Source organism: Homo sapiens, chromosome 7, assembly GCF_000001405.40.
Source record: "Homo sapiens chromosome 7, GRCh38.p14 Primary Assembly".
Classification (NCBI taxonomy): Eukaryota; Metazoa; Chordata; class Mammalia; order Primates; family Hominidae; genus Homo; species Homo sapiens.
Genome location: NC_000007.14, coordinates 18907732 through 18934758, shown reverse-complemented (window position 1 = coordinate 18934758; position 27027 = coordinate 18907732). Strand labels below are relative to the sequence as shown.

The 27027-nt window shown below is 34.9% G+C and overlaps 1 protein-coding gene across 6 annotated transcripts in view; it reads right to left on the bottom strand.

The window, feature by feature from the left end:
- The window catches only part of HDAC9 (histone deacetylase 9), a 915592-nt gene that overhangs the window by 67658 nt on the left and 820907 nt on the right, over positions 1-27027 (bottom strand). The window lies entirely within an intron of this gene.

The following is a 27027-nucleotide window of genomic DNA, read 5'->3' as shown; positions in this document are numbered from 1 at the left end:
TCCAAAGGGCTATTACCAAGCCCCACCCTCAGAAACAGTATATGTAAGAATTCCAGTTAAGTCACATCCTTGCCAACATTTGGTATGGTTTGCCAAGTGGGTGGCAAAAAAATGGCATCTTATTGTGTTTTCATTCAGTGTAAGAGGGGAGTTTTCTATTTCTAATTTAACTTAGAGATTTCATTACAAATGTAATTTAATCTAATTATTTCTTTACACAGATAGACTTTTCCCCATAATTTCACAGTGCTGTTAGTTACATTAATTAATATTTCAAATATGAAGCCATCATTGCATTTAGGAAGTAAAATAAGCTTGGTCATAATGTATTATCTTTTTAGTACACACCTGGATTTGTTTTGCTAATGCTTTAAGATTTTTTTGAGTATGTTCATGAATGGGGTTAATCTGTACTTTTCCATTCCTGTATTGGCCATAATGAATTTTGATGTGGTTGGGACCCTCTGTTTTTATTATCTGATGCCAGAATGTTGGGGACAAATCTCGTATGAAACCATTAGGGTCTTGTGTTCACTTTGAAGAATATTTTTAGTATTGATTGAATTTTTAAAGGGATTATATCACTACACCTGCTTTCTATATCGTCCTAAGTTATATTTTTACAGGCGTTTCCTTCTTTTATTTCATTGTTTAAATTTGCTGAAATAAAATGTTTGTTTACTCTATTACATTATTTTGAAGTTCCACATAGATGTAGGTGGACATTGTCTGTAAATATTTCCTTGATCTAAGTTCTCTTTCATATTTTCCATCTCTCTCTGTCCTGCATTACGTATATTTTTGAATCAGAGCTGTCTTCCAGACTTTCCCTCTTCAGACATCTCTAATCTGCTACATCACATCTTTAGTGATATTTTCATTTCTGTGATTGTATTATTTAACTCTAGAATTCCAATTTTGTTCTATTTCGTGACTTATTGGTCATTATGATACTTTCTTAACTCCTTGTTTATGTTTTTATTTCTTCTTTTATTTCTTTCAGCATAATTATTTTATATTCTGTAACTGACATTTGAAATCTTTTGGTTTAGTTTGCTCTCTGTTGTTTCTGCTGATTCATGTTCATGCTGCCTTAATTATCCCCTTTTTAAAAACTTTTATTAATTTATTTAATTTGTGGAGTACTTTGAGCTTGTATTCATTGTAACTTTATATGTGAAAAATATTTGAAGCTTGGTGCAATGGACTGAATGTGACTACACCCCAAAATTTATATATGGAAATTCTAACCTCCAATGTGATGTTTTTGAGAGGCAGCCTTTGATAATTATGTAGAGTCTTCATGAATGAGATCAGTACCCTTACAAAAGGGACCCCAGAGAGAGTCCTCTAGCTCTCTTGTTGCCTTCTAAGGATCCAAGGAGAAGTTGGCACTCTTTAATCCAGATTAGGTAGAGTCCTCGTAAATTAGATTTGTACCCTTAACAAAAAGGACCCAGAGTCCTCTAGTTCTCTTGTTGCCTTCTAAGGGTCCAAGTCTTTACTTGGCAGTCTTTATTCCAGAAGGCCCTGACCAGAACCTGACCATGCTGGCAAGCTGATCTCAGACTTACAGTAACCAGAACTGTGAGAAATAAATTTCTGTTGTTTATAAGCTATCAGTCTATCGTATTTTGATACAGCAGCCTGAACTAAGACACTGGGGTTGAATATGGTATCTGTCATTCAAGTCTGGCTCAAGTGTGATATTGTTTGCTTTTGCTGGATATCTGGGACACTACCTTCTAGGACCTATTTTAAATTCTTATATGGCAAGACTGGTTGTGGAGTTTGCTGTTTTTGTTTGCACATGTATATTATAAATATGGACCTTAAAACTTTATTACAAATTCTCATGGAGAAGAAAGTCAGGACATCCTTTCTTTCTTTCTTTCTTTCTTTCTTTCTTTTTTTCCTTCCTTCCTTCCTTCCTTCTTTCTTTCTATCTTTCTTTCTTCTTTTTCTCTTTCTCTCTTACGTTCTTTCTCTCTCTTTCTCTGAAACTTTCTTTCGGAAATTCCCTTTATTGGTGGCAAAAGCTAAGATAGATATGATGTTTTATTTAGGAGTATTTTCTTTTCTCCTATTTATTCTCTTCCAAAGTGTTGGCCATTTGTCATTCTTTCTTTATTCTGGTCTCCAGTTAAATTCCCTCCCCTTCTTAGGCCCAAGCCTCTGACCCTCTTTTGCAATATGCAGTAGATTATTAATGTTCCAACTCCGACCGATTGGAGATTTTGGTATAGATGCCCCCAGGGTAGTCAACAACTTCAGGATTTACTCTCCTTTTTCTATCTTTTGGAAGTCAACCACAAATTTAAAAGGATGATTTTAATATTTAATTCAGCATTTTGAGATACTTTCACATAAAAGTGTTTAAGAATATGTAATGTCTCATATTGCCAAATTTGAATGTTTCTCATTCAACATTTAGAAAAAATTATCATGGCATCCGACCTGTCCAATTTCAGGGGCAATTGCCAAAAGGTACGGTAAATAAAAATAAATGAAAACACGTGTTTCAGTAGAACATTTCATTTTTTATATGCTTTGTGAACTTACAGCAAAAAATTTTAATTTTTAAATCAATTGAATTTTTCATAATTCATAGATTTTATTTTTTAGAGCAGTTTTGTATTTACAGAAAAACTGAGCAGGAAGTACAGCAAGTTCCATATCCAGTCTCTTTCTTTCCATATTAACATTTTGCATCATTTTGGTACATTTGTTATGATTGATAAGCCAGTACCGATGCATTATTATTAACTAAAGTATAGTTGAGGTTCACACTTTGTGTTGTACATTCTGTGGGTTTTGACAAATGCATAATGTCACGCATCCACCATTATACTATCAGACAGAATCAATGACTGCCCTGAAAATTTCCTGTGATTTACCTATTCATCCTCCCTCTCTGCCCCTCAACTCCTGGCAACCAATGATCTTTTAATTGTCATAGTCTTTAGTTTGAAAAGAAAATAAATTCTCAGGATGTATTCACTAGAATTTAATGAAAGCCTATAAAATCATCAGATAATGAGAGCCTGAAACTAAATTAGGTTGCTTCTATTTTGAACAATAAAATAATACATTAATCCCGGTAATGCATTAAAATAATCCACTTGGTAAACAACTGCCTAGATTTTCCCTTCTGGTCTAGCACTTGATGTTCACCATGAACAGGATGAGTGAATCTCCTCAATATCTTGAAGCACTTTAATGTTGATTTTAACCACTTAACTACTATTTGGATGGAAGTCAAATTAGTCACTTTACAATTATCACGTTTTAAAATTCTTGACAAAAATACATTTAAAAAGGATTTAAAAATTAGTTAAAAACTGTTATCAAGCATTTTAGTTTTTCTCAATTCCTATGGACCTCATTATGATGCCGATAAGAATCTTTTACCCAGGCCACTTAGGAATGAGGCTGTCCACACTAAACTACCTTATTACCGGGATGACAATAAAAAGAATGATAAACATTCAGAAAAGAAGTAACGCAAAATTTTGATCCCTAATGCTTAGAAATGTTCTTTCCCTGAGCCAAGATTAATAGCACATAGTAATTAGTACCATTCTAGAAAATTTATGTAAAAAACCTAATAGGTAAGGACACATTTCTGTTAATCATATTATTAAATATTCTAGACCGCTTTTTCTGTAACCTAAACCAGGGCTACAGTTATAATTTTAAAAGATATAATAAATCAAGCCAGAAATCTTACTAATAATTTCTAGTAACTGAGAATTCAATTATCTAAAGTCACTACTGAACAAACCAAATCACTGGATTAAAGAAAGAAAGAGACAGAGCGATCCAAATCTGGTTTAAGTTCACTCTTTCCTCTGGCAATGAAAAAAAGTCCCATAAAATGCCAAATTTAGATGGGATAGTAAAAAGTGGAAGGAAAGAGTGGAATGAAGTTAATCTTTGATCTCTATCCAAATTCCTCTTTCTTTTACCTACAGGGTTTATTTCCATTCACATGTTACCCATGTGATCTCTGCAGTCAGAGACTGAGGCAGCTGAACTCTAAGTTATGCATGCACAAAACATTCAAGTGATGTAAGGAAAGTTCTACAAGGCCCATGCCCTTTCTTCAAATCAAAATAAGCAATTCAGTATTTTTTTTTAATTTTATTATCCTGAATTCTGCTGTGTCCACTGTTACTGTACATATTAGAAACATTAAAAATGCCAGCCGAGTGTGGCTACCCAGGTGAAGGTATTATTTTTCAGGACATATTAAAGGTTTCAGTGGCATGTGTACGTGTGTGTGTGTGTGTTTGTGTGTATGTGTGTGTTAGATTAGAGCATATATAACAATTTTAGTAGGCATGATTGCAAGTTTCATGTAATCATATTTACTTCTAGCTTCATTAAAGACACAAAAGCTCATCCTACATTTGACAGTAAACTTAATAACACCTTCAGAGTTGAAAAATTTTAGCACAGACCTTCCTCAAGCGGGGTTGAGTGTTTTGAGTGTGAGGGCTGATGGGCTAAGTGATTAAGTGGAAAACGTGTTCCTATACCATGGTACCTTGTAGGCTCAAGCAATCACTGGACATAGAGATGGAACGGGGTTCTCAACAACCACATAGGGCATCAGTTTCCTAATTGAGTGCAGAGCTGAGGGAGGAGCTTGGATGCCTCGGAGCAGCCACATGTACAGGTTCATATTGGGATGCACTGACTAAAAATCAGCCTTGACAGACATCCCTATTACCTGTATTGACTACAAAAGAATCTGTATACTTTATAGGTGTTGGTTTCTGCTAAGAAATCATATTGTTTCAGATATTTTTTTTTTTGAGGCGGCGTCTTGCTGTGTCACCTGGGCTAGAGTGCAGTGGCGTGATCTCAGCTCACTGCAACCTCCACCTCCCGGGTTCAAGCAATTCTCCTGCCTCAGCCTCCCGAGTAGCTGGACTACAGGCGTGCACCACCACACCCAGCTAATTTTTGTATTTTTAGTAGAGACGCGGTTTCACCATGTTGGTTGGCCAGGATAGTCTCGATCTCTTGACCTCGTGATCCACCAGCCTTTGCCTCCCAAAGTGCTGGAATTACAGGCGTAAGCTACCATGCCCAGCCGTGTCAGATACTTTTTAAAAGAGATTTGGTAACTTAAGCTTTTATTTTAGGAAATATTTTAGAATGAGGCATTAATCAAACACCACATCTACTACTAAAGAATCCTACATGTAGCCTGGTTGTTTTAAAAATTGTCTATCAGCATTAAATTATAAGCATGAGAAGGATTCTACATTGTAACAAATCATTTCTTTTGATGACCAAGTGGAGCTGAACTGGTAATTACCATGACCTTGAAACCACTGAGAAAGAGAATTAGAAGGGCCTTTTCAGAATGAAATCCTCTGTTTGGTTCCATTAATTTAGTAGAAACAAATTTAATATTTTTGATTATAAAAATAGAATTAAATAAGCTATCAATATGGTAATGGTTTCAAATTATCAATTTCAATTTGATTTCCTGATACTTTATAGGGGTTGGTTTCTGCTAAGAAATCATATTGTGTCAGTATTTTCTCTAGTTTAGAAGTTGTTTGAAATGAAAAGTTGCTCTAAGAAGGCTCAAAGATTAAGCCTTATATACGTATTTAATAACCAAGTCAGATGACACAAAAGGATTCATCCTTCAAGGTGACATGTCTCAAATGCTTCTCTCTAACATTTCCAAATAGTTCCCAGAGAATAGTGGTAGTGAAAGGAAACAACCTTAACTAGCTTTATTTTAATTTTCATTAAAAAAAACTATATTAAAAAACCAAAATTATTGCATTCTCGTTGTAAGAAATTTGGAAGATGATAGAAAATAATAAATAAATAGTATAATAATAAACAGGCTCTATGTTGTGATATATCATATAAAGTGTTATCTTTTATTTGATAAATAAATAAAATAAATGATCATCATCAAATAATTATAAATAATAATAAATACATAGTTCCATCGACCAGAAATAGCCAATTCTACCTTTGTGTATTTCATGCTTCTTGTTGTATTTTCTAAATAAAACAAAATCATTCTGGTTTTTTAAAAATACATTTACAAATATCAAATAGTGGATACATTTTTCATGTTCTCTACAATATCATTTAAAATGTACCCATGCACCAAGCAATTCTGTTTTTAGATATTTAAGTGTGCTTTAGGTTTTTAGTTTAATATACAAGATAGCAAATAATAGCCTAGTGTATAATCAAAGTGACCAATGTATGTTAGTGTTTATCTTATTCTAGTGTTATTATGTATTATTAGGGTTGGAAGAAGCCTTGCTCTTTTTATTGCTAACTTATCTGTTTCACCAGAGCATGGGCTAGAACCTAAAGCACATAAAGCCAAAAGGAGAACAAAGTACAGTCAGAACTGTATAAACTTTTTTCTTTTAGAACCCATGTATATTTAGCAATGCCTATTTTGAATAACCTAATGTTTTGATAGAAGCTCAGAGAAATGAGAGATTCTCCCACAAAATCTGTTTCTATTACAAAATTGCAAATGGAATTGGAAGTCTCTATGGAGGCCAAAACTGAGTTAATGCTGTAGTAGGTTGAACAGGGAATTCTCTCCAACCTACAATTTAGTTACTATTGCTATCCTGCCTCCCTGTAGTAAAATAGAACAGACTCTAGAATCAGCAGCCAATTCTCAGAGAAAGATACCTCGATCATGATTCGTTTGGTTAATAAAGAAATGGTGACACATTGTGATCTATTGGATAAGTCATTTTACTTCTACTTAAACATTTGTTGACGTTGCTGATGCCAGTCTCCCATTCATGACAAGTCTCCCCCCAACTATTATTTTCTTTCTATTGAGGAAAGCCTCTAGTTAAAAAAAGAAACAACAAAAATGATTCTGGCAACCTCCATCCTCACTCTGCCATTCAGCAGCAGAGGCACTGGCATCAAGATAAGCAGGAGTGAAAGCTTTTGAAATACTCACTGACACCTATCTCATGATGATTTGTATTAATTTGTAACTCTTCTATGGCTAAAAAGTCTCACTACCAATTTACTCATTTATTAACATGTCAATTACATTTGGGCCTGAAATGTTTATGAAGACTTCACCACACATTTAATATAGTAGGGACCAAAGGAGTCACACATTGTTGCCCTATTTTCATTTGAAATTAAATTTTTCTCATCCATTGGACTACCTTCTGTAGTTATATCCAAAAAGTATTACTGAAGAATGCACATCCAGGGAAGTCTAATTATAAAAACTGTAGCCATTTTCCTCCCTCTCTAAACCCCCTGGTCATTAAGTTACCATGTTATTCTTTAGGAAAATGCAGTCAGGCTCAAGTAGAGAGAGAAATTCGGGTAGCATGTGGCAGTCTCATGTATTGTGAGGCTCTCCAGCAGGACTTCAAAGCAGAATCTGATTGTTGCAGATGGGAGGAATGCTTTCCACAGAAATACCTTTTTAAGACTCATGGTGCTGTAATTCATATGGTAGGCACTTGTGATTCATTCCTGATGATGTTGGGATCATTTAACTCACAGAACCATTGTCGCTACCATAAAGTCCTTTCATCTGTAGCCAAAAAGGTTTATTTCATGCAAATGAAAAATTTTCATTAAAGTATCACCTTAATAACGGGTAAAGATATATATTATCTGGTTATGTTTAAAATGTAAATTTATGAACATATTCTGAAGATTCATTTCATGTTAAGATTTTACTTATTTGATGTCCCAGGACTCTTTCCAAGTTCACTGAATCCGGAAATCAATTTTATAAGAAATATGGAGATTATTACCATTAAATCTTTCAATTGGCTTATTCCAAGCAGCCCTATAAATACTGCATATGTTTTAAAGAAAGCATTTTCAATCACAGTAAAAATCCTTTTACTCTTCTAGTCAGTGATGCTCCAGGAGGTAAGTTTATATTCTCAGCACCTTTTGAAAGCAAATGAATAAATTGTATCCTAAAAAAAGTCTGAAACAACAGAATACTTCAATGCCATTATTTTTTGTAAGACAAAATTGATCCTCAGAAATTCCTGAGAAAATAAATGGCAAGAATGATTGACTGGAACTTTAGTTATCCATCAATCCATCCATCCATCCATTCACCCATCCCTCCATCCATCTACGATCCAACTACAAATCAACTATTATTTACAAAATACCTACTCTGTGCCACAGTTTTATACATAATTCTGATACTTCTATTAGATATGAGTTATTATAAACTCTATTTGAACCTCAGTTATATTACCTATAAATAAAATTAAATACTACTTATTCTACATCACAGGTTTGAAATGAATATTTAATCATTAAAGGCCAACTGCAAAATGGATACACAGTTTATCAAACAGAGTCTGGCATATGGCAGATGCTCAGTATTTATACATTTTTTTGGAGATGAAGTCTCACTCTGTCATCCAGGCTGGAGTGTAGTGGCATCATCATAGCTCACTTAACCTAAAATTACAGGGCCCAAACAATCCTCCCACCTCAGTCTACTGACTAGCTTGGATTACATCCCACTACCACACCCTACTAATTTTTCAATTTTTTTTATAAGGACAGGGTCTTACTATGTTGCCCAGGCTGGTCTAGAACTCCTGGCCTGAAGCAATCCTCCTGCCTCGGCCTCCCAGAGTTCTGGGATTACAGGTGTGAGCCACCATGCTTGGCCAGTATTTATACTTTTAATGAAAGCTTTTCATTTAACAATTACAGATCTAGATATAATTGCAAGTTTACATACTCCAATTCTATCGTTTTAAGAAGTGGATGAGGAAACTAAGGCCCATAGTGATACCAGAGAGCAATTTTTTGAGGAAAAGTAAAGAAGAGCAAGTAAAACATGAAAAATGTTATGCTCTTATGATATATCTGCTATAGAATATCTAGTATCCTTTTTGAACAATGTTTTTAAAAAAGACATTGTGGCCAATATAAGTAGAAAATCATGTTCAAAGATGGGGGTGAGGGTGAGGAGTGAGAGATGTGTGGGGAAGAAGTTCAAGTCCAAATAAATATAACACACCAAATGAAAAAGGCTCAAGTCTTTCTGGCCACAAACTCTTGCTTACATAGGTGTATGGAAAAAAAAAGATGTATTTAACTAAAAAAATTTAACTTATACAAAATTTCATTGATTTAGTTTTACACAGGGTAAAACTAAAACACCATGTATTCAAGAGGACTCAAAAAATAATTGTGGTAGATCCATTCAATTAAGAGATACCTACTAAGAAGCTACTATGTGACCAAGGAACTGTGCTGGCAATGAAGGCATAGTTATGAGCCAAGCAAAGGTGTTCATTACCCTTATATGGTGTATAAACTAATGTTAGTGAGACCTAATATAACCAGGCACCATGCTAAGTGCTGAAATGCATTATCTCATTTATTCACCACACAACTTCCCAAGTTATAAGAACATTAACTTGCCCAAGCAACAAAGGTCAATCAATGACAAAGTTGGGATAAGAGGTTGGGTCAGTTGACTTTAGTGCCTGTCATCCAAGCCACTCTTCTGTGGCTAAATCCAAGTAATATTGAAGTGCAAATTTAATGCATTAGTACTACAATCACAGTGCCAGTTGTGCCTGAAAAATAATCCTCAAACGTTAATGACTGTAACCCATTCTTCTTACTCAAGCTACAACTTACAGTAGTTAAAACTGATCCACTTCGATTTTTTTGCTATTTTTTCAGTTTGAAAAGGAAATATATCACCCCTTCAAAAAACTAATTCCTTTTCAAACTAACCCTTGCATCTAAGCTTGCATTTTAACTTTGAGCACAGCATTAATTCATGGCAGTACTCCCAAAATTCAACTCAGGTTATGATGGCCATGGCAACACTTATAATTGACCATTGCCAAAAAGCTTATGCACTGATTTGCCATAATCATCCTCACGGTTTCTGAATGCCTAGTTGCTTTTTATAAACTGATATTTTCAACTAGCATAGTACCTGACACACAATAAGTTATCTGGTCTTTAAAAAAACAAACAAACAACAACGAAAATATTACTATTGAATCTCAATGTGTATATTCTTCACAAACAGATGATCATTCATCTTTAAAGTGCTAGATAAGTATCAGCTAAATTACACAGATTTGTTAAATGGTAGAAAAACAAAACCGCTGCCTTCTAAGGAAAATGGGGACATGTCTCATTGCCAAAAACATTCCTTGGAATTGCATTTCCCAAATGACCAGGGTTTTTAATTTCAAGACCAAAATACCTGATTTTAAAAGATAAGTATCTACCCTCTGGGCAAAACTGATGACTTCTTATTTTTCCTGCCATAAGTCGAGGTTCAGGAACCCTCCGAATTGTAAGTTACAAGCAACCATTTAATTTAGATTAAATTAGACAGCAATTGTATGTTAACTAAATATGAAATGCCTCTAAATGTGTTTGTTAAAGATTAAGAATTCCATAGTATATAAGCTTCTATTATACATTTGTTATTGATGATTTTTAAAATAAATCACCATTTAATAGAAATACTTAAAGAATATTTGCAAAAGAAAGGATAACATTTAGCAAAATTCATAAGCATCTAATAAGCCCAATAGGATAGTTAGGATAGTTTTTTTTTTTTCCTTCCTTTTTTTTAAAACAGGCAATTCTCCAACATCAGGGCAGAAAATCCGCAGTACAAACATGGCCAAGATCCTACACCATTTTTACAAATGCCATGATTCAACCTGTCAATATGGATAAAATAAAGGCTTCTTTTCAAATACTTATCACAGTGGTTTTGTTCTGTTTTAAGTCTATTCCCACCTGCCATTAAAAAAATCATTAAAAGAAAATAAAGACTGCCTCCAATTTCCATGAAAGATTTCCATATAACTATCATTCTTTGGGGAATAACATTACATATTCCATAGCGTATTGGATCATTGTTTTTATCTTGCATGATTTTCCTACCTTTCCAAGTTGGAGGTGTGGGACATGAAAAGGGAGTCTTTCCTTTATTATGCCAGAGGTCTTTCATCTTAAGCCATGGTCTACTTGTGAGTGAAGCCCAATATCCAACTTATATAAAATGCTATAAAACCTTCATAATGGTAAAGATAGAGTATTTCGGGTAAGGCGGTGACATTTTAGGTCAAACACTTCAAGACACTTAAGGTATCTGAAAGAAGATGACAAGATTGTGGAATTGAATGATGAGAGAGTGAGGTAAGCAGAGGACAGATTCAGGGTGGGGAGATCAAAGATAAAGAGGAGTTGCCAGGACTTTGGGGAATAGCTGGGTATGTACCAGAATAAATAAAAAAGCACTATGCTAGCCATTCTAGAATCGTTCAAACTGAGAGGTCATGGACATCTTTCAACAAGGGTCTATAATGAGATTAGGCAACTACTTTTCAAACCAAAGAAGCTCGCAGATGCATTAGACTGGGAGTCAAGCTGGAATACACTAGGGATACGCAGCTGTTGAGTCTATTGCTCTAACCTTAGAGTGTGAGTTTAGATTTTTCAAAAATAGTTAAAATTTCAGAATCTGGATATTAACGGATAGATGTATAAGATAAAAAAAGTAGCACTTTATTAAAGTGGGACCATCAGCATTTCACTTATCCCAATCACAAGTATTATAGCTTCAGAAAATAATAGCAACTGGGTGTTCAAAATTACCTAATTAATAATAGGTGACAAAAGAAATTCATAGTGACTATTAAAGGAATAAAGCTTTTATCATTATCACCATGTGTCAAAAGAGTTGTGTAACTCATCCTAATAATTTCCAACTTCAAATTCATTGAAGAGACATTACTTCTCTTAGGAGACACCCAGGCGTTCTCTGCCAGCTGCTTAAACCCTCTCTAGACATTTGTCGATTTTTATTACCATAAAAATGTTAACTGCTTAGGAAAATTATCTAGTCTACCTTGGGAAGCATCAGCAACAGAGCCAGGGTGGCACCACTGATTCTGAATTTGGATAAAATTAATCAATAATTTCAAATGATATTAGTAACTAAATCTAACTCAGGTTCTATAGCCTACTGCATAATTGGACCTGCCAATTCCCATCTCTGGACTTTGCTTTGTTTCTCTAAGGGTCAAATATAAGTGTCAGACTAACTCATATTTCTTAAAGTGGAGTTTAACCTTTGGTTAATCAGAATCTCCTGGGTGTTTGTTAAAATGCAGATTTGTGAGCCTCATCCCAGACCAAGTTTGAATCCAAATCTCTGCATTTAAAGTAAGTTCCTCTACTGAGGTTTGAGTTTTTCCACTGAGGTCCTTCTACCTGCATTGAGGTTTGAAGGTCATCTGACTACAAAATCTTGAAGGCTTCCTTCTAGCTGTGTTATTTGAGTTGATCCTCTCACAACATTTTTTATTTTTTTGGGAAAAAGAAATTAGACTATCATTACATTATAAATAATAGGTTTAATTATATAGAAAACATATAGAATTTAAAAATAGGATAATTTAGCACAGTGTCTTGTTATAAAAGCAATTTATAATAATTAATGTTTTTTAATTATTATTATTATAGTTTAAGTTGTAGGGTACATGTGCACAACGTGCAGGTTTGTTACATATATATACATGTGCCATGTTGGTGTGCTGCACCCATTAACTCGTCATTTAGCATTAGGTATATCTCCTAATGCTATCCTTCCCCCCTCCCCCCACCCCACAACAGGCCCCAGTGTGTGATGTTCCCCTTCCTGTGTCCATGTGTTCTCATTATGCAGTTCCAACCTATGAGTGAGAATATGCGGTGTTTGGTTTTTTGTCCTTGTGAGAGTTTGCTGAGAATGATGGTTTCCAGCTTCATCCATGTCCCTACAAAGGACATGAACTCATCCTTTGTTATGGCTGCATAGTATTCCATAGTGCATATGTGCCACATTTTCTTAATCCAGTCTATCATTGTTGGACATTTGGGTTGGTTCCAAGTCTTTGCTATTGTGAATAGTGCCGCAATAAACATACGTGTACATGTGTCTTTATAGCAGCATGATTTATAGTCCTTTGGGTATATACCCAGTAATGGGATGGCTGGGTCAAATGGTATTTCTAGTTCTAGATCCCTAAGGAATTGCCACACTGACTTCCACAATGATTGAACTAGTTAACAGTCCCACCAACAGTGTAAAAGTGTTCCTATTTCTCCACATCCTCTCCAGCACCTGTTGTTTCCTGACTTTTTAATGATTGCCATTCTAACTGGTGTGAGATGGTATCTCATTGCGGTTTTGATTTGCATTTCTCTGATGGCCAGTGATGATGAGCATTTTTTCATGTGTGTTTTGGCTGCATAAATGTCTTCTTTTGAGAAGTGTCTGTTCATATCCTTCACCCACTTTTTGATGGGGTTGTTTTTTTCTTGTAAATTTGTTGAGTTCAGTGTAGATTCTGGATATTAGCCCTTTGTCAGATAAGCAGGTTGCAAAAATTTTCTCCCATTCTGTAGGTTGCCTGTTCACTCTGATGGTGGTTTCGTTTGCTGTGCAGAAGCTCTTTAGTCTAATTAGATCCCATTTGTCAATTTTGGCTTTTGTTGCCATTGCTTTGGTGTTTTAGACATGAAGTCCTTGCCCATGCCTATGTCCTGAATGGTATTGCCTAGGTTTTCTTCTACGGTTTTTATGGTTTTAGGTCTAACATGTAAGTCTTTAATCCATCTTGAATTGATTTTTGTATAAGGTGTAAGGAAGGGATCCAGTTTCAGCTTTCTACATATGGCTAGCCAGTTTTCCCAGCACCATTTATTAAATAGGGAATCCTTTCCCCATTGCTTGTTTTTGTCAGGTTTGTCAAAGATCAGATAGTTGTAGATATGCGGCATTATTTCTGAATCCTCAATAAAATACTGGCAAACCGAATCCAGCAACACATCAAAAAGCTTATCCACCATGATCAAGTGGGCTTCATCCCTGGTATACAAGGCTGGTTCAACATACGAAAATCAATAAATGTAATCCAGCATATAAACAGAACCAAAGACAAAAACCACATGATTATCTCAATAGATGCAGAAAAGGCCTTTGACAAAATTCAACAACGCTTCATGCTAAAAACGCTCAATAAATTAGGTATTGATGGGACATATCTCAAAATAATAAGAGCTATCTATGACAAACCCACAGCCAATATCTTACTGAATGGACAAAAACTGGAAGCATTCCCTTTGAAAACTGGCACAAGACAGGGATGCCCTCTCTCACCACTCCTACTCAACATAGTGTTGGAAGTTCTGGTCAGGGCAATCAGGCAGGAGAAGGAAATAAAGGGCATTCAATTAGGAAAAGAGGAAGTCAAATTGTCCCTGTTTGCAGATGACATGATTGTATATCTAGAAAACCCCATTGTCTCAGCCCAAAATCTCCTTAAGCTGATAAGCAACTTCAGCAAAGTCTCAGGATACAAAATCAATGTGTAAAAATCACAAGCATTCTTATACACCAACAACAGACAGAGAGCCAAATCATGAGTGAACTCCCATTCACAATTGCTTCAAAGAGAATAAAACACCTAGGAATCCAACTTACAAGGGATGTGAAGGACCTCTTCAAGGAGAACTACAAACCACTTTTCAAGGAAATAAAAGAGGATACAAACAAATGGAAGAACATTCCATGCTAATGGGCAGGAAGAATCAATCTTGTGAAAATGGCCATACTGCCCAAGGTAATTTATAGATTCAATGCCATCCCCATCAAGCTACCAATGACTTTCTTCACAGAATTGGAAAAAACCACGTTAAAGTTCATATGGAACCAAAAAAGAGCCCGCATTGCCAAGTCAATCCTAAGCCAAAAGAACAAAGCTGGAGGCATCATGCTACCTGACTTCAAACTATACTACAAGGCTACAGTAACTAAAACAGCATGGTACTGGTACCAAAACAGAGATATAGACCCATGGAACAGAAGAGAGCCTTTGACAACTTTTATTACTTTTTAGTAGTCAACAACTTAAGCATACCAAAACAAAAATAAAAGACAGTCAGATTTTGATTTGCTTATCAACAAGATAAATAATAGTATACATTGTTATTCCAGGTCTAGGACTTCCATGAAATTGTATAGGAGGTGGAATTTCATCCTGGTCTTTTGCTTCTCCCCTGCCTCCCACCTCCCTTTCAAGTGCTCTTTTCTTCTTCCCTTTAATCCCTGTGAAATCTTCTTTGAAACAATGAATTTACATCAATGGGTTGTTTTTATCAGGTGGCTGTAGATTTGGGAGACACATCCCAACATTTAAATACTAATACTTGCAAAACTCATAGAAAAGTGCCTAACATTGTAAGACTTATGTAACTGCTTGTTAATTCTAGAATGATACAACATTTTTTCTTCTCTAGGAAGATTGCTTAAGTGGACTTGTGTCCTGGCTCTCACAAAATATAGTCCTAAAGGAAACTATTTACTCACATTTAACACCAAACTGGTTACCATCATATTGGTTAGCTTTATGATGAAGTATAAACAGTTACATGCCAACATGAAGAAAACCTTCCAAAAATAGTAAATAAATAGTTTAGGTATCACGATAAGGGGCAACTCCTTGGAAATGATAATTTGCAAAATGATACATAAGCGCCCTTCTGACTTTGTGTTTCTGACAATTATAAATTTTCCTTGAAGTGCATTGGCTATTCTTTATAATTAGGCCTTTACATTAATTGTGGCTTATTACTGATTAACTCAAGTATTTATTGCAAAAAGTTTTCTATGTTGTAATTACCTCTTTATTACCAACGACTTAAAAGGGCAAAGACTTGATTTGCACAGGGGATCTGAAACATGTAATATTACTAAACAAAAGCAACTTGGGCTCTATTGAACCAACCAGAGAACTAAATATGAGAGGCCGTGATTCTCAACACAAAACAATTGTTCAGGCCCCTAGGATTAAAACTAAGTTTTTAAACAGGAGAACTCTCATTAATTCCACCGTAATCATTTAACTACAAGGAAAAGCAGGTTCTTTGGATACTTCATCATTTCAGCTAGTTGATTCAATAGAATAATTTCATGTTTTGTTTCTGGTGAAAACAATGGAGGTGGCACAATTTGTAGAGCTATGCGGTCAAACTGTGTTATGAATGCATTACCCAAGAGTATATTAATCTTTTAGTGGAGGAGAGACAGACAATAAGTGTGAAAAGGTAGTAAGACTGTGGTTATTTTGGTGGCTTAACTTAGGAGCAACTTTTAATGATCACCTGAAAAAAGTCTAAAATTCTTATGTCTATTCTTAACCTGAGTAATAAAAGCTATAAAAATCATATATTAAGTGTGCTATATAAAATATTTCTAGAATAATACTCTGTTATTAACAGTTTTATCTCTCTTGCTTTATGAAACACTCTTCTCACCTGGCCTAGTGCCATCACATTCTTGGATTTCCCCCTTTCCCCTCCATCCCCCCCATGTCAAGCTGCCAGCTCCTCTACCTCCTTCCACCTGAGAAACATGGGTACTCCTCAGAGACTGGCCTCAGCACTCCATTCTCCCTCTGCAAACATGGTTCATCAGTGAATGTTTTCATTGTCACAGTTATACCCATTATCACTGAACCAAAGACTGAAATCTCCTTTTCTTCCTGTTCGCCTTTTCTAGCCCTTATCTCCAATCAGAAATGGCCAGAAATGCATTTCTTTGCACATCGACTTGATTTTAATTGAATGTGTTTAAATATTATCCATTATCCGTCATCCTCGGTTTCTCCTCCTGATGTCACTACTTTGGCCAATAGGTAATCAAGATTGTGAAACCTTAATGTCTGTCAACGCTAATGACACACTATCTCAAACTACCCAATGACAAATGAGCTTAAACTGCTCAGTTTGGTAATCAGGGCCCCAATATGCCGTTATTGTCAAAATGACTGCACTGAATAGGCTTTCCATTGCATGTATTAGATAAGAGCATAGATTTGGGGGCCTGAATTTCATCTCTCTCACGGTCATCAGTGTCATCTCAGACATATTTTTAATTTCCCTGAGTCTCCCTTTCTTCTTCAATAAATCGGGGATAGTAACACCCAAAGTTAAGGTGAATACATGAAAAAAATGTACTTATTTACTTTGTCCAATGAAAGGACACAGTAAAAGCAGCAAATGGTTGCTGGAGAACAAATGTGATCTCTTCACTCGTGTCCTTCTTTCCATCTGCTTTTCCTCCTCCTCTCATCTATGTCTAACTTACCACTCAAGAGGAACTCTGCTGCCCCCACCACAACGTTCAGACAAGTGGCTCTGATCACTAGACATTTTGCTTGCAGAATTTGCTCAATCAGATACTGTCTTTTTTCATATATACGTGTCTTTTCTATTTTCAATTTATTTGTGAGATTTTGAAAGAGTAGTTCAACATCCTAATTCTTGGCACATCAACCAATAAATAAACACAGTAGTATTTACTGAAAAAAAAATCCCAGTTTTTTTTCAAATTCATATCCAGAGGTCCAGAGGGATGCTTCAATTGTGCAGTGCCCATGCTTGATCCTGAGTTCTCCCTCATGACTGACTGCAAAAACCATGACAGTGTCTGAGCGGAGAGATCAGTGCTTGGACCTTCTCCTTGCTCTTTCCTAAGTAACATAAGATGATTTCATATTTGCGAGCTTTGAAAGCATTTCAGCTCATGTTTACTATTTTCTGTCTACCACAAATATTCACAGAACTTCTAAGAGCATATTGAAACTGAAGTGTATCATCTCTGATTGGGCACAATATACTCTCAGAATGTATTCTAACATCAATAAAATGTGGACTCTTCCCCAGCAATACTCAGGAAAGCCTCTTAGGTTCCGGAAATAAACATTCTGGGATGCTCTGCAGGCCAGATGTGCAGACTGTTGAGATGGCATTGTGGGAGAGAAAAGAAAGAACCCAAGCCCATTAAACTTAGGATATTCCCAGAGTGGCTTTACTTTTCTCTGCTTTTCTTTGCGAAGACATGGCCAGCAAGTCCTTTACTCCTGTTTTCTATGTATGTACACTTTTTGGTTGTTTGTGAATATTGATTAAATAAGGAAGGCAGAGGTGTTTGGGAGTAATGGCTCTGATAGGCGGGTAGAATGCTGCACTTAAATCCAAAGCATTTGTGTGCCCGTTTCTCTCTGAAGCTCAATAGCTTCTATATCTATCTCATTAGCCACATAATAGAATTCATCAACATTTTACACCACTTTATGTGCCTGTTTCTCTCTGAAGCCCAGTAGCTTCTACCTGAAGTTTCAATAGTTTCTCTCTGAAGCCCAATAGCTTCTATCTCTATCTCATTAGCCACATAACAGAATTCATCAAAATTTTACACCACTTTACTAACTGTATTATTTTGAGCAAAACACTTTGCCACCCTGAGACACAGTGTCCTCACTTTCTCATTTGTAAAACTAAGAAATTATTGCAGATGATATCAAAGTCCCCTTGCATTTATGATTCTACATTAGTCAAAGATTCATCTCTACCACCACATCACAGAGCTCTGTGGGTCAAACTCTAATTACTCTCTTCAATGCTCCAAGAAATGGCTGCCAAATTTCTGGCTAGTGACTGACATTTCATATTCACGCTAGTACACTTTCAAACACAAACCATCCCTGAGCCTTTCTTTGTTCTTTGGAGATGTCTGCTTCCGTCATCCCAAGAAAATGCAAGAACAGCCAAATGCAGGTGTTTGGGTATGGCCTAACGACTAAGGTTCTTTGTCTTTTTCTGTTTTTTTTTTTTTTTTCCAGCGGGGGGTGAGAGGAGGGTCTGTTTTAAAGTACAGAAAAAGTCACAAAGGCTGATGCGAAGCCTTAACATCTACTCTCGTTTCCTGAAATTCCCTCTGAAGTCTACGGGAACTCTGCACTCTAAGGGCCCAGTCCCATAATTGGTAAATGAGAAAATATCCAAAGGAACACAATTTTAAAGTTAACAAAAAAACCATAAATAGAGAAAAAGTGATTTTGTTGTTGTTGTTGTTGTTGTTAGGGAAAAAATTGGAGTTAAAATGGCATATTTATTTCGTTTTAATTTCTGGGCTGTCAGACATCAGCTCTGAAGCCCTGATTCAGAACACATGCGGGGTCGCTTTGAAGTTCCGACTGCTTTTTTTTTTTTTAACAATGGCAGAAAGATATAAAGAAATTAAGCTGCAACATAATCATAAAACAAAACTTCTGGACTCCTGATTTGCAAACTGTCATTCTTTCATTTGTTCAATGCTTCATTTTCAAAGCTTCATTGTGGCACATAATTTTTTGTAATTTTTTCCTTTAAGCTCGACCTTAGCTATTCTTTTCCTCTCCAAAGTGAGGCATTCTACTTTTATTTTATTCAACTTAAAAAAAAAATAGTTTGTTGCGGTTTTCTGAAAACAAGAAAGGAACAGGAAAATCCAGAGCAATATAGTAAATGGAATCTTTTTGATAAAAGCCATAGCAATATAGGGTTTAGCTCTTAAAGTAACCAGTTCTCTTGGCATAAAGACAAAAATGTACCTTAAATTTTCAGGCAATCTAAAGAAAATGTCTACTTGGTTTTCATGCTCTACTTATAAAATATCCTTACAGAAGATTTTAGGATCCTTAATAAAAACTGTGCATTTCAAATATGGCCTGACAGATGCCACATTTGAAAACACACATCCCCTACACATACAGACACATGCACAAATGCGTACAAATTGATTTATTGTTGTCAGTCAGTGGTCATATATCTTTATTTGAACAAGATACACAAGATTTTGTAATCCAACCATCCCTTTTAAATCTTAAGCCCACAAACAAGCTACAAGTTTCTTAGTCCCCAAAATCATGTTTCTCATTCTGCTTTTTTCCTATAATCTCTTCTTGGTTGTATTATGTAAAGTATTCCAATATTTATACTCTTTCCAAATACTGCTATACCAATTCTATAGTGTAACTTCTATTCCAGAGGTTTTTTCTGCTATATCTTTAACGGTCAAAATTTCAAAAAATATGTTTCTCTCCCAGCGTAATGACCTTTAATACACTTACAGTGACTACTAGTCATCTTTTACATCAAGTTCCAACTCAATACATCAAAGTTAAGTGGGAAATTGAAATGACTATCCCATCAATGGTGTGCTAAAGCCAGCTCATACTGACTTGCAAGAACTGACAGCTAAATCTTCAGAAATTTGTGAGCCTGGTTTAAACACCATTATAAATGTTAAATTATATAAACTTACAACTTAAAAATTATATTAGAAACAAAGGCATTATGTACCCCAAATTCATTATTTCTGAATTATTTTACTATATTTGCTATTATTTGTGCTATGGGGGTTACTTATGTCTATTGTACAGATAGAGTTGAAATACTGGACTATGGATTGCTGTTGCATGTCTTGTCTCAGCTGTGCTAGTTACTTCCACATTGAAAACCTGAAACGAATGAATAGCCGGGTGGAATGCCTTCGTCTGTCTGGGCTGCTGTAACAAAATACCATAAACTGGGTAGCTTACAAACAACAAAGACGTATTTCTCATATTTCTGGAGGGTGGGAAGTTCAAGATCAAGCAGAAGAAAATCAGATTGATAGGAGATTCAGTACTGGGTGAAGGCCCACTTTCTGGTGCATAGACAGCACCTTGTCACCACGTCCTCACATGGTGTGAGAGGCAAGACAGCTCTCGATGGCCTCTTAATTGAGGGCACTAATCCCATTTATTTAGGGCTCTGCCACCCTCATGACCTAATTAGCTCTCAAAAGCCCTACCTCCTAACATTATAACATTGGTGATAAGGTTTTAACATATCAATTTTGAGAGGACACAAACATTCAGACCATAGTAGTGTGGATATTTTCCTTGGTTTTGTTTTTTTGTTTTTGTTTTTTAAGAGCTACTTTTTAAATATTTACCTGCAAATTACTAATTGTCTTCTGTACCAGAATTATTGAAAGAGCTAATTTACAATTTACAATGAGTACTTATATTGAATCGTGGATGCTTCATCCTTAACTTCCAACTGTTTTTTAATCCATTCACTGCTAGTCAATATATTATCTTTTTAAATTCTTATCTTCTAGGGTTTTAACTTCTCTTCTGCCTAGAATGAAACTGCATTTTCACATCTACTGAACCACCTCTCAAAGCTTTAATGAAAACTTACATATGCTGTGATGTCAATATTAATTAGGAAGGCTGCTATAAGCGTCCTCTTATTTTCTGGCACAGGGTCAGGCACATGGAGTCCAAAGGAAACAGAAAGAAAATTACGCATATTATTTGTTTAAAGGTGGGTGGAACAAATTGTGTATTGCTATGTCATTACCTTAGAATTTTGGACTGTAAATGTCTAGAAGGGAGGTACCACGTATGTCAAGTAGCCTGATTCCTTAAGTATTAAATAATCATCAGATAGATTGCCAAACATCCTCCCATTCTATTTTGACAACAGCCTACATCTATAAATGAAAAACATTTGTGCATCAAGTAGTTTAAATTCTATTATTCTGACTTGAGTGACTGTCTTGAATACAAACAGATTTTAGACATGGCGAATTAAGATATTTTTATCCAGAAGGGATGTGGAAGATATTTGGATAAGAACTGGAGAAAGTTCAACCGTGGAAATTAGCCACGTGTTGAAAAGTTTGCATTATTTATATATACTTATACAGCCTTTGTTCTAGTACTCAAAAATGCTAGAGTCCTCTCTGACACAAAAGAGAAATAGAAAGTTTTTAAGCAGAGAAAATATCCATTTGTATGTGCTACAACTAAATAGCAACGTTTTCACTGAAAACTCTTTAGTTTTCTAATAGTTAAGATCAGTATTATTTACAGTGCAGTGAATTACTAAACACATTATTTAAGCTCTAGCAGAACATACATTTCAAGGTGCATGAGCATATTCTTGGTGAAATTATAATACCTACCTCTCAAACCTTCTGTAAGTTTAACACAAATCTGTCTTACCCAAACTTCTGAGTAATAGGGGATTACTCTAATTTTTTGTTAGAATCCTTGCGATTTATGCAATTTACAGTTGTCTCATTTTTGTTTTTTAAAATTAAAATCTGACCAATATTTCTTAATGTCCATACTATTGAGATTTCAGAGCAGACGATGCTTTGATATAGAGAACCGTCCAGTGCACTGTAGAATGTTCAGCAATATCCTTGGGCACTACCCACTGGATGCTAGTGGGACCTTCAAGTTGTGGCAACCACAATGTCTCTAGATACTGCCAAATAATCCCCAGGAAAGCAAAATCACCTCCATTTGAGAGCAACTAAATTAGGCTAATTTTCAGAGAAAGTGGTAATTCAATGCATAACATATTTTCAAATGTTTCTTATTTATTGATAAAGAAAACAAATTTAATATTAATACTTATACCCACTTATTGGATACTTTTATAGTTTTCTACAGTTTTAAAATATTATCTCATTTTATTCTGATAAAAACTTAGGGGTAAAGGTTTTTATGTTCATTTTCACAGCTGAGAAAAGTGAACATAAGAGAGGAAATAACTCCCTAAAGCTCGCTCATCTATAGTGCTGGTCATTACATATTGATAATAAGATGAATTGAGCAAGAGTATTTAACAATTGTAAATACCCAACACTGGAGCACCCAGATACGTAAAGCAAATATTATTCTATGTAAAGAGAGAGAGATATCCCAATATGAAAATAGTTAGGGACTTCAATACCCCACTCTTAGCATTGAACGGATTATCTAGATAGAAAATCCACACAGAAACTTTGGATTTAATCTACACTAGACCTAGCAGACGTTTAAAGAATATTTTATCTGACAACTGCAGAATACACATTCTTCTCATTAGTACATGGAACATTCTCTGGAATAGATCATATAGTAGGCTACAAAACAAGCCTCAAAAGATTTTTAAAAATTGAAATCATATCAGATATCTTTTCTGACCACAATGGAATAAAATTAGAAATCAATAACAAGAGGAATTTTGGAAACTGTACAAATACATGGATATTAAACAACATGCTCCTGAATAACCAATGGGTCAATGAAGAATTTAAAAAGGAAATTTAAAAAATTCTTGGAACAAATGAAAATAGAAAAACAACTCACCAAAACCCATGGGATACAGCAAAAACAGTACTAAGAGGGCAGTTTATAGCAATAAACAATAGATTTCAAATAAACAACCTAACAATGCATCTAAAAAAAAACTAGAATAGCAAGAAAAACCAAACCCCAAATTAGTAAAGGTAAAGAAATAATGTTTCAGAGAAGAAATGAACAAAATAGAGACCAAAAAATACAAAAGATGAACAAAATGAAAAGTTTTTAAAAATAAAAGATAAACAAAATTGACAATTAGCTAGACTAAGAAAAGGAGACGAGATCCAAATAAACAAAATCAGAAATGAAGAAGACATTACAACTGACACCGACTATACAACTACATGACAAGACATTACAACTGACACCAACTATACAACTATACAACAACAAGACATTACAACTGACACCAACTGTACAACTATGCAACAACTATAAAACGGACACAAGTATAAACCAACAAATTAGAAAACCTAGAGGAAATAGATACATTTCTGGATACATACAACCTACCATGATTAAACCAGAAAAAAAAAAAAAAGCCTGAACAGACCAATAACAAATAACAAGATAGAATCAGTAATAAAAAGTCTCCCAACAAAGAGAAACCAAGAACTGGAGGTCTTCAAAGCTGAATTCTAACAAATACTGGAAGAATAAATAACACCAAGTCTTCTCAAACTATTCCAAGATATTAAAGGGGAGAAAATTCTTCCAAACTCATTCTATGAGGCCAATATTACCCTGATAATAAAACCAAATAAGGACAAAACAAAATAAGAAAACTATAGGCTCATACCCCCAATGAATATAGATGCAAAAAAATCCTCAACAAAGTACTAGCAAAATGAATACAAAAGCATATTAAAAAGATTATACACCATGATCAAGTGATCATGGATGCAAGGATGGTTCAACTTAGACAAAACAATAATCAAGGTACATCACGTCAACAGAATAAAAGATGAAAGCCATACGATCATCACAATAGACACAGAAAGAGCATTTGAACCCGCAGCCAACTGTGATGAATACTATACTGAATGCTGAAAGCTTTTTCTGTAAGAACTGGAATGATACAAGGATGCTAACTTTCACCATTCTTATTCAACCTAGTACTAGAAGTCCGAGTCAGAGCAATTAGGCAAGAGAAAAACATAAAAGGCATTCACATGGGAAAGGAGAAAGTCAAACTCCCTGCTTGCAGATAATATAATCACATATAAAGACCTAAAGAATCCATCAAAGAATTCCTTGAATTGACAAATTCAGTAAAGTTACAAGATACAAAATCAACCTACAAAAAATCAGTAATCTTTCTGTATACCAATAGTGAGCTACCTGAAAAAGAAATCAAGAAAGCAATCCAATGGGCAATAGCTTCAAAAATATATGAGAAAATATTTAACCAAGGAGGTCAAAGATTTCTATGATGAAAACTGTAAAACACTGATGAAATAAATTGAAGAAGACACAGAAAGTAAAAAACATCCCATGTTTATGAATTGGATGAATTAATATTGTTAAAATAGCCTTGTTACCCAAAGCAATCTACAGATTAAATGCAATCCCTATCAAGTTAATGTAAAGATGTAAAGAGAGAGATTGATCCCAATACAACAATAGTTGGGGACTTCAACACCCCACTCTCTCAGCATTGGACAGATCATCTAGGTAGAAATATCATTCTCTGCACAAATAAAAAAAATCCTAAAATTTGTATGAAACCACAAAAGACCCCAAATAGCCAAAGAGTCCTGAGCAAAAAACCCCACAAAAAAAACGAAAGCTAAAAGCATCAAACTACCTGACCTCAAAATATACTACAAGCCTATAATAACCAACATATCTTGGCAGTGGCATAAAAACAGACACATAGATCAGTGGAATAGAAGAGAGGACCCAGAATAAGCCCACATATATAGAGTCAACTGATTTCTGACAAAAGTAGCAAGAACATACGTTGGGGAAGGGACAGTCTCCGCATCATGCAATATATCCATGCAATGAACCTGCACATAGTATGTAATGAATCTAAAATTTAAAAAATAGATAAATAGTGCTGGGAAAACTGAATATCCATATGAAGAACAATGAAACTAGACTCCCATCTCTCACCATATACAAAATTCAACTTAAAATGGATTAATTACTTAAATGGAACACCCACAACTACGAAACTACTAAAAGAAAACATAGGGGAAATGCTTTGGGACATTCAGCTGGGCAAGAACTTTATGGATAAGGCTTCAAACACCAGGCAACAAAAGCAAAAATAAAACAATGAAATAATATCATACTAGAAAGCTGCAGAGCAAAGAAAACAATCAACAAAGTGAAAAGACAACTTGTAGAATGGAAGACAATGTTTGTAAACTATTAATTAATTAATTTCCAGAATATATATACAAGGAACCCAAACAACTCATCAGCAAAATAAAACCAAATAATCTGATTTAAAAATGGACAATTGATCAGAATAATCATTTCTTAAAAGAAGACATACGAATGGCTAACAGGCATATGAAAATATTCTCAACCTCCCTAATCATCAGGAAAATGCAAGTCAAATCCACAATGAGATCTTGCTTCACCCCGGTTAGAATGGCTATTATGAAAAAGACAAACAATAACTAGTGCTGGTGAGGATGTAGAGAAAAATGAACTCTTATACACTGTTCATGGGAATATAAATTAGTACAGCCAGTATGGAGGGTCCTCAAAAAGCCAAAAATAGAATGACTGTATGCTCCAGCCATCTCACAACTGTGTGTATATCCAAAGGAAGGAAATCAATGTGTTGAGGGAATATCTGCACTTTTGTATTTATTGCAGTACTATTCACAATAGCCAAGATATGGAATCAACCTATGTGTCCATTAATGGATGAATGGATAGAGAAAATGTGGTATAAATAGACAATGGAATCTTATACAACCATTAAAACAGAATGAAAGAATGAAATTTTTTTTTGTCATTTGTGGCTCTAGATGAGCCAAGAGAACATTATGTTAAGTAAAATAATGCAGGCACAAAAAAAATAAATACCGCACAATCTCACTTACATGTGGAAGCCAAAAGAGTTGATGTCATGGAAGTAGAGAGTAGAATAGTGTTTACCAGAAGTTGGGAAGTGAGTGGAGAGAGGGAGAAATAGGAAAAGGTTGGTTAATAGATACAAAATTACAGGTAGATAGGAGGAATACCTTCTAGCGTTTTACAACACTGTAGAGTGACTACAGTTAACAACAATTTATTCTGTTTTCCAATAGCTAGAAGAAGGGATTTTGAATGTTCCCATCACAAAGAAATGATAAGCGCTTGAGGTGATGGATATGTTAATTTAATAATCACACATTGATTTAATCATTACACACTGTAGAGATGTATCAAAATATTACTCTGTACCATATAACCATGTACAATTATGTGTCAATTAAAATTTTTTTTAAAGAGTACAAAGAATAAAAAAATTAAGCTCTGAATACATAAAGGCACTATAATTGATGTGGCTGGGAGCTTCTATATTATGCTTATTTCTAGAATATTAATGTTTTTAAAGAATATGCATAATTTGAGACATTTCATGTCTCAAATTAACTAACTATTCCATGTGACATTTAAAAATGGTCCATATAAAGTGTTTTTCTACTATATTGTAAGAGGCAGTATAATAAATGATGCCTTTTCCTTTAGAATAAAACATTCTATCCTGGAAAAATCACTGTAAAAATGGCTAAATACATGATATATACATAGTATGTGTACAGAATAAAATACATTATGATGATACCAGAGGTATAAATTTAATCAGATCCAATTCTAGGGGAGTGGCTCCGTTTCAAACTTCTGCATATGGATAATGCTACAAATGACCAGACATTCTAAGAATTACTCTCAAGATGTCACTACCCTAACAAAAGTAAAGTAAACTGTAAGAATGGCTCATGCTCTCTCA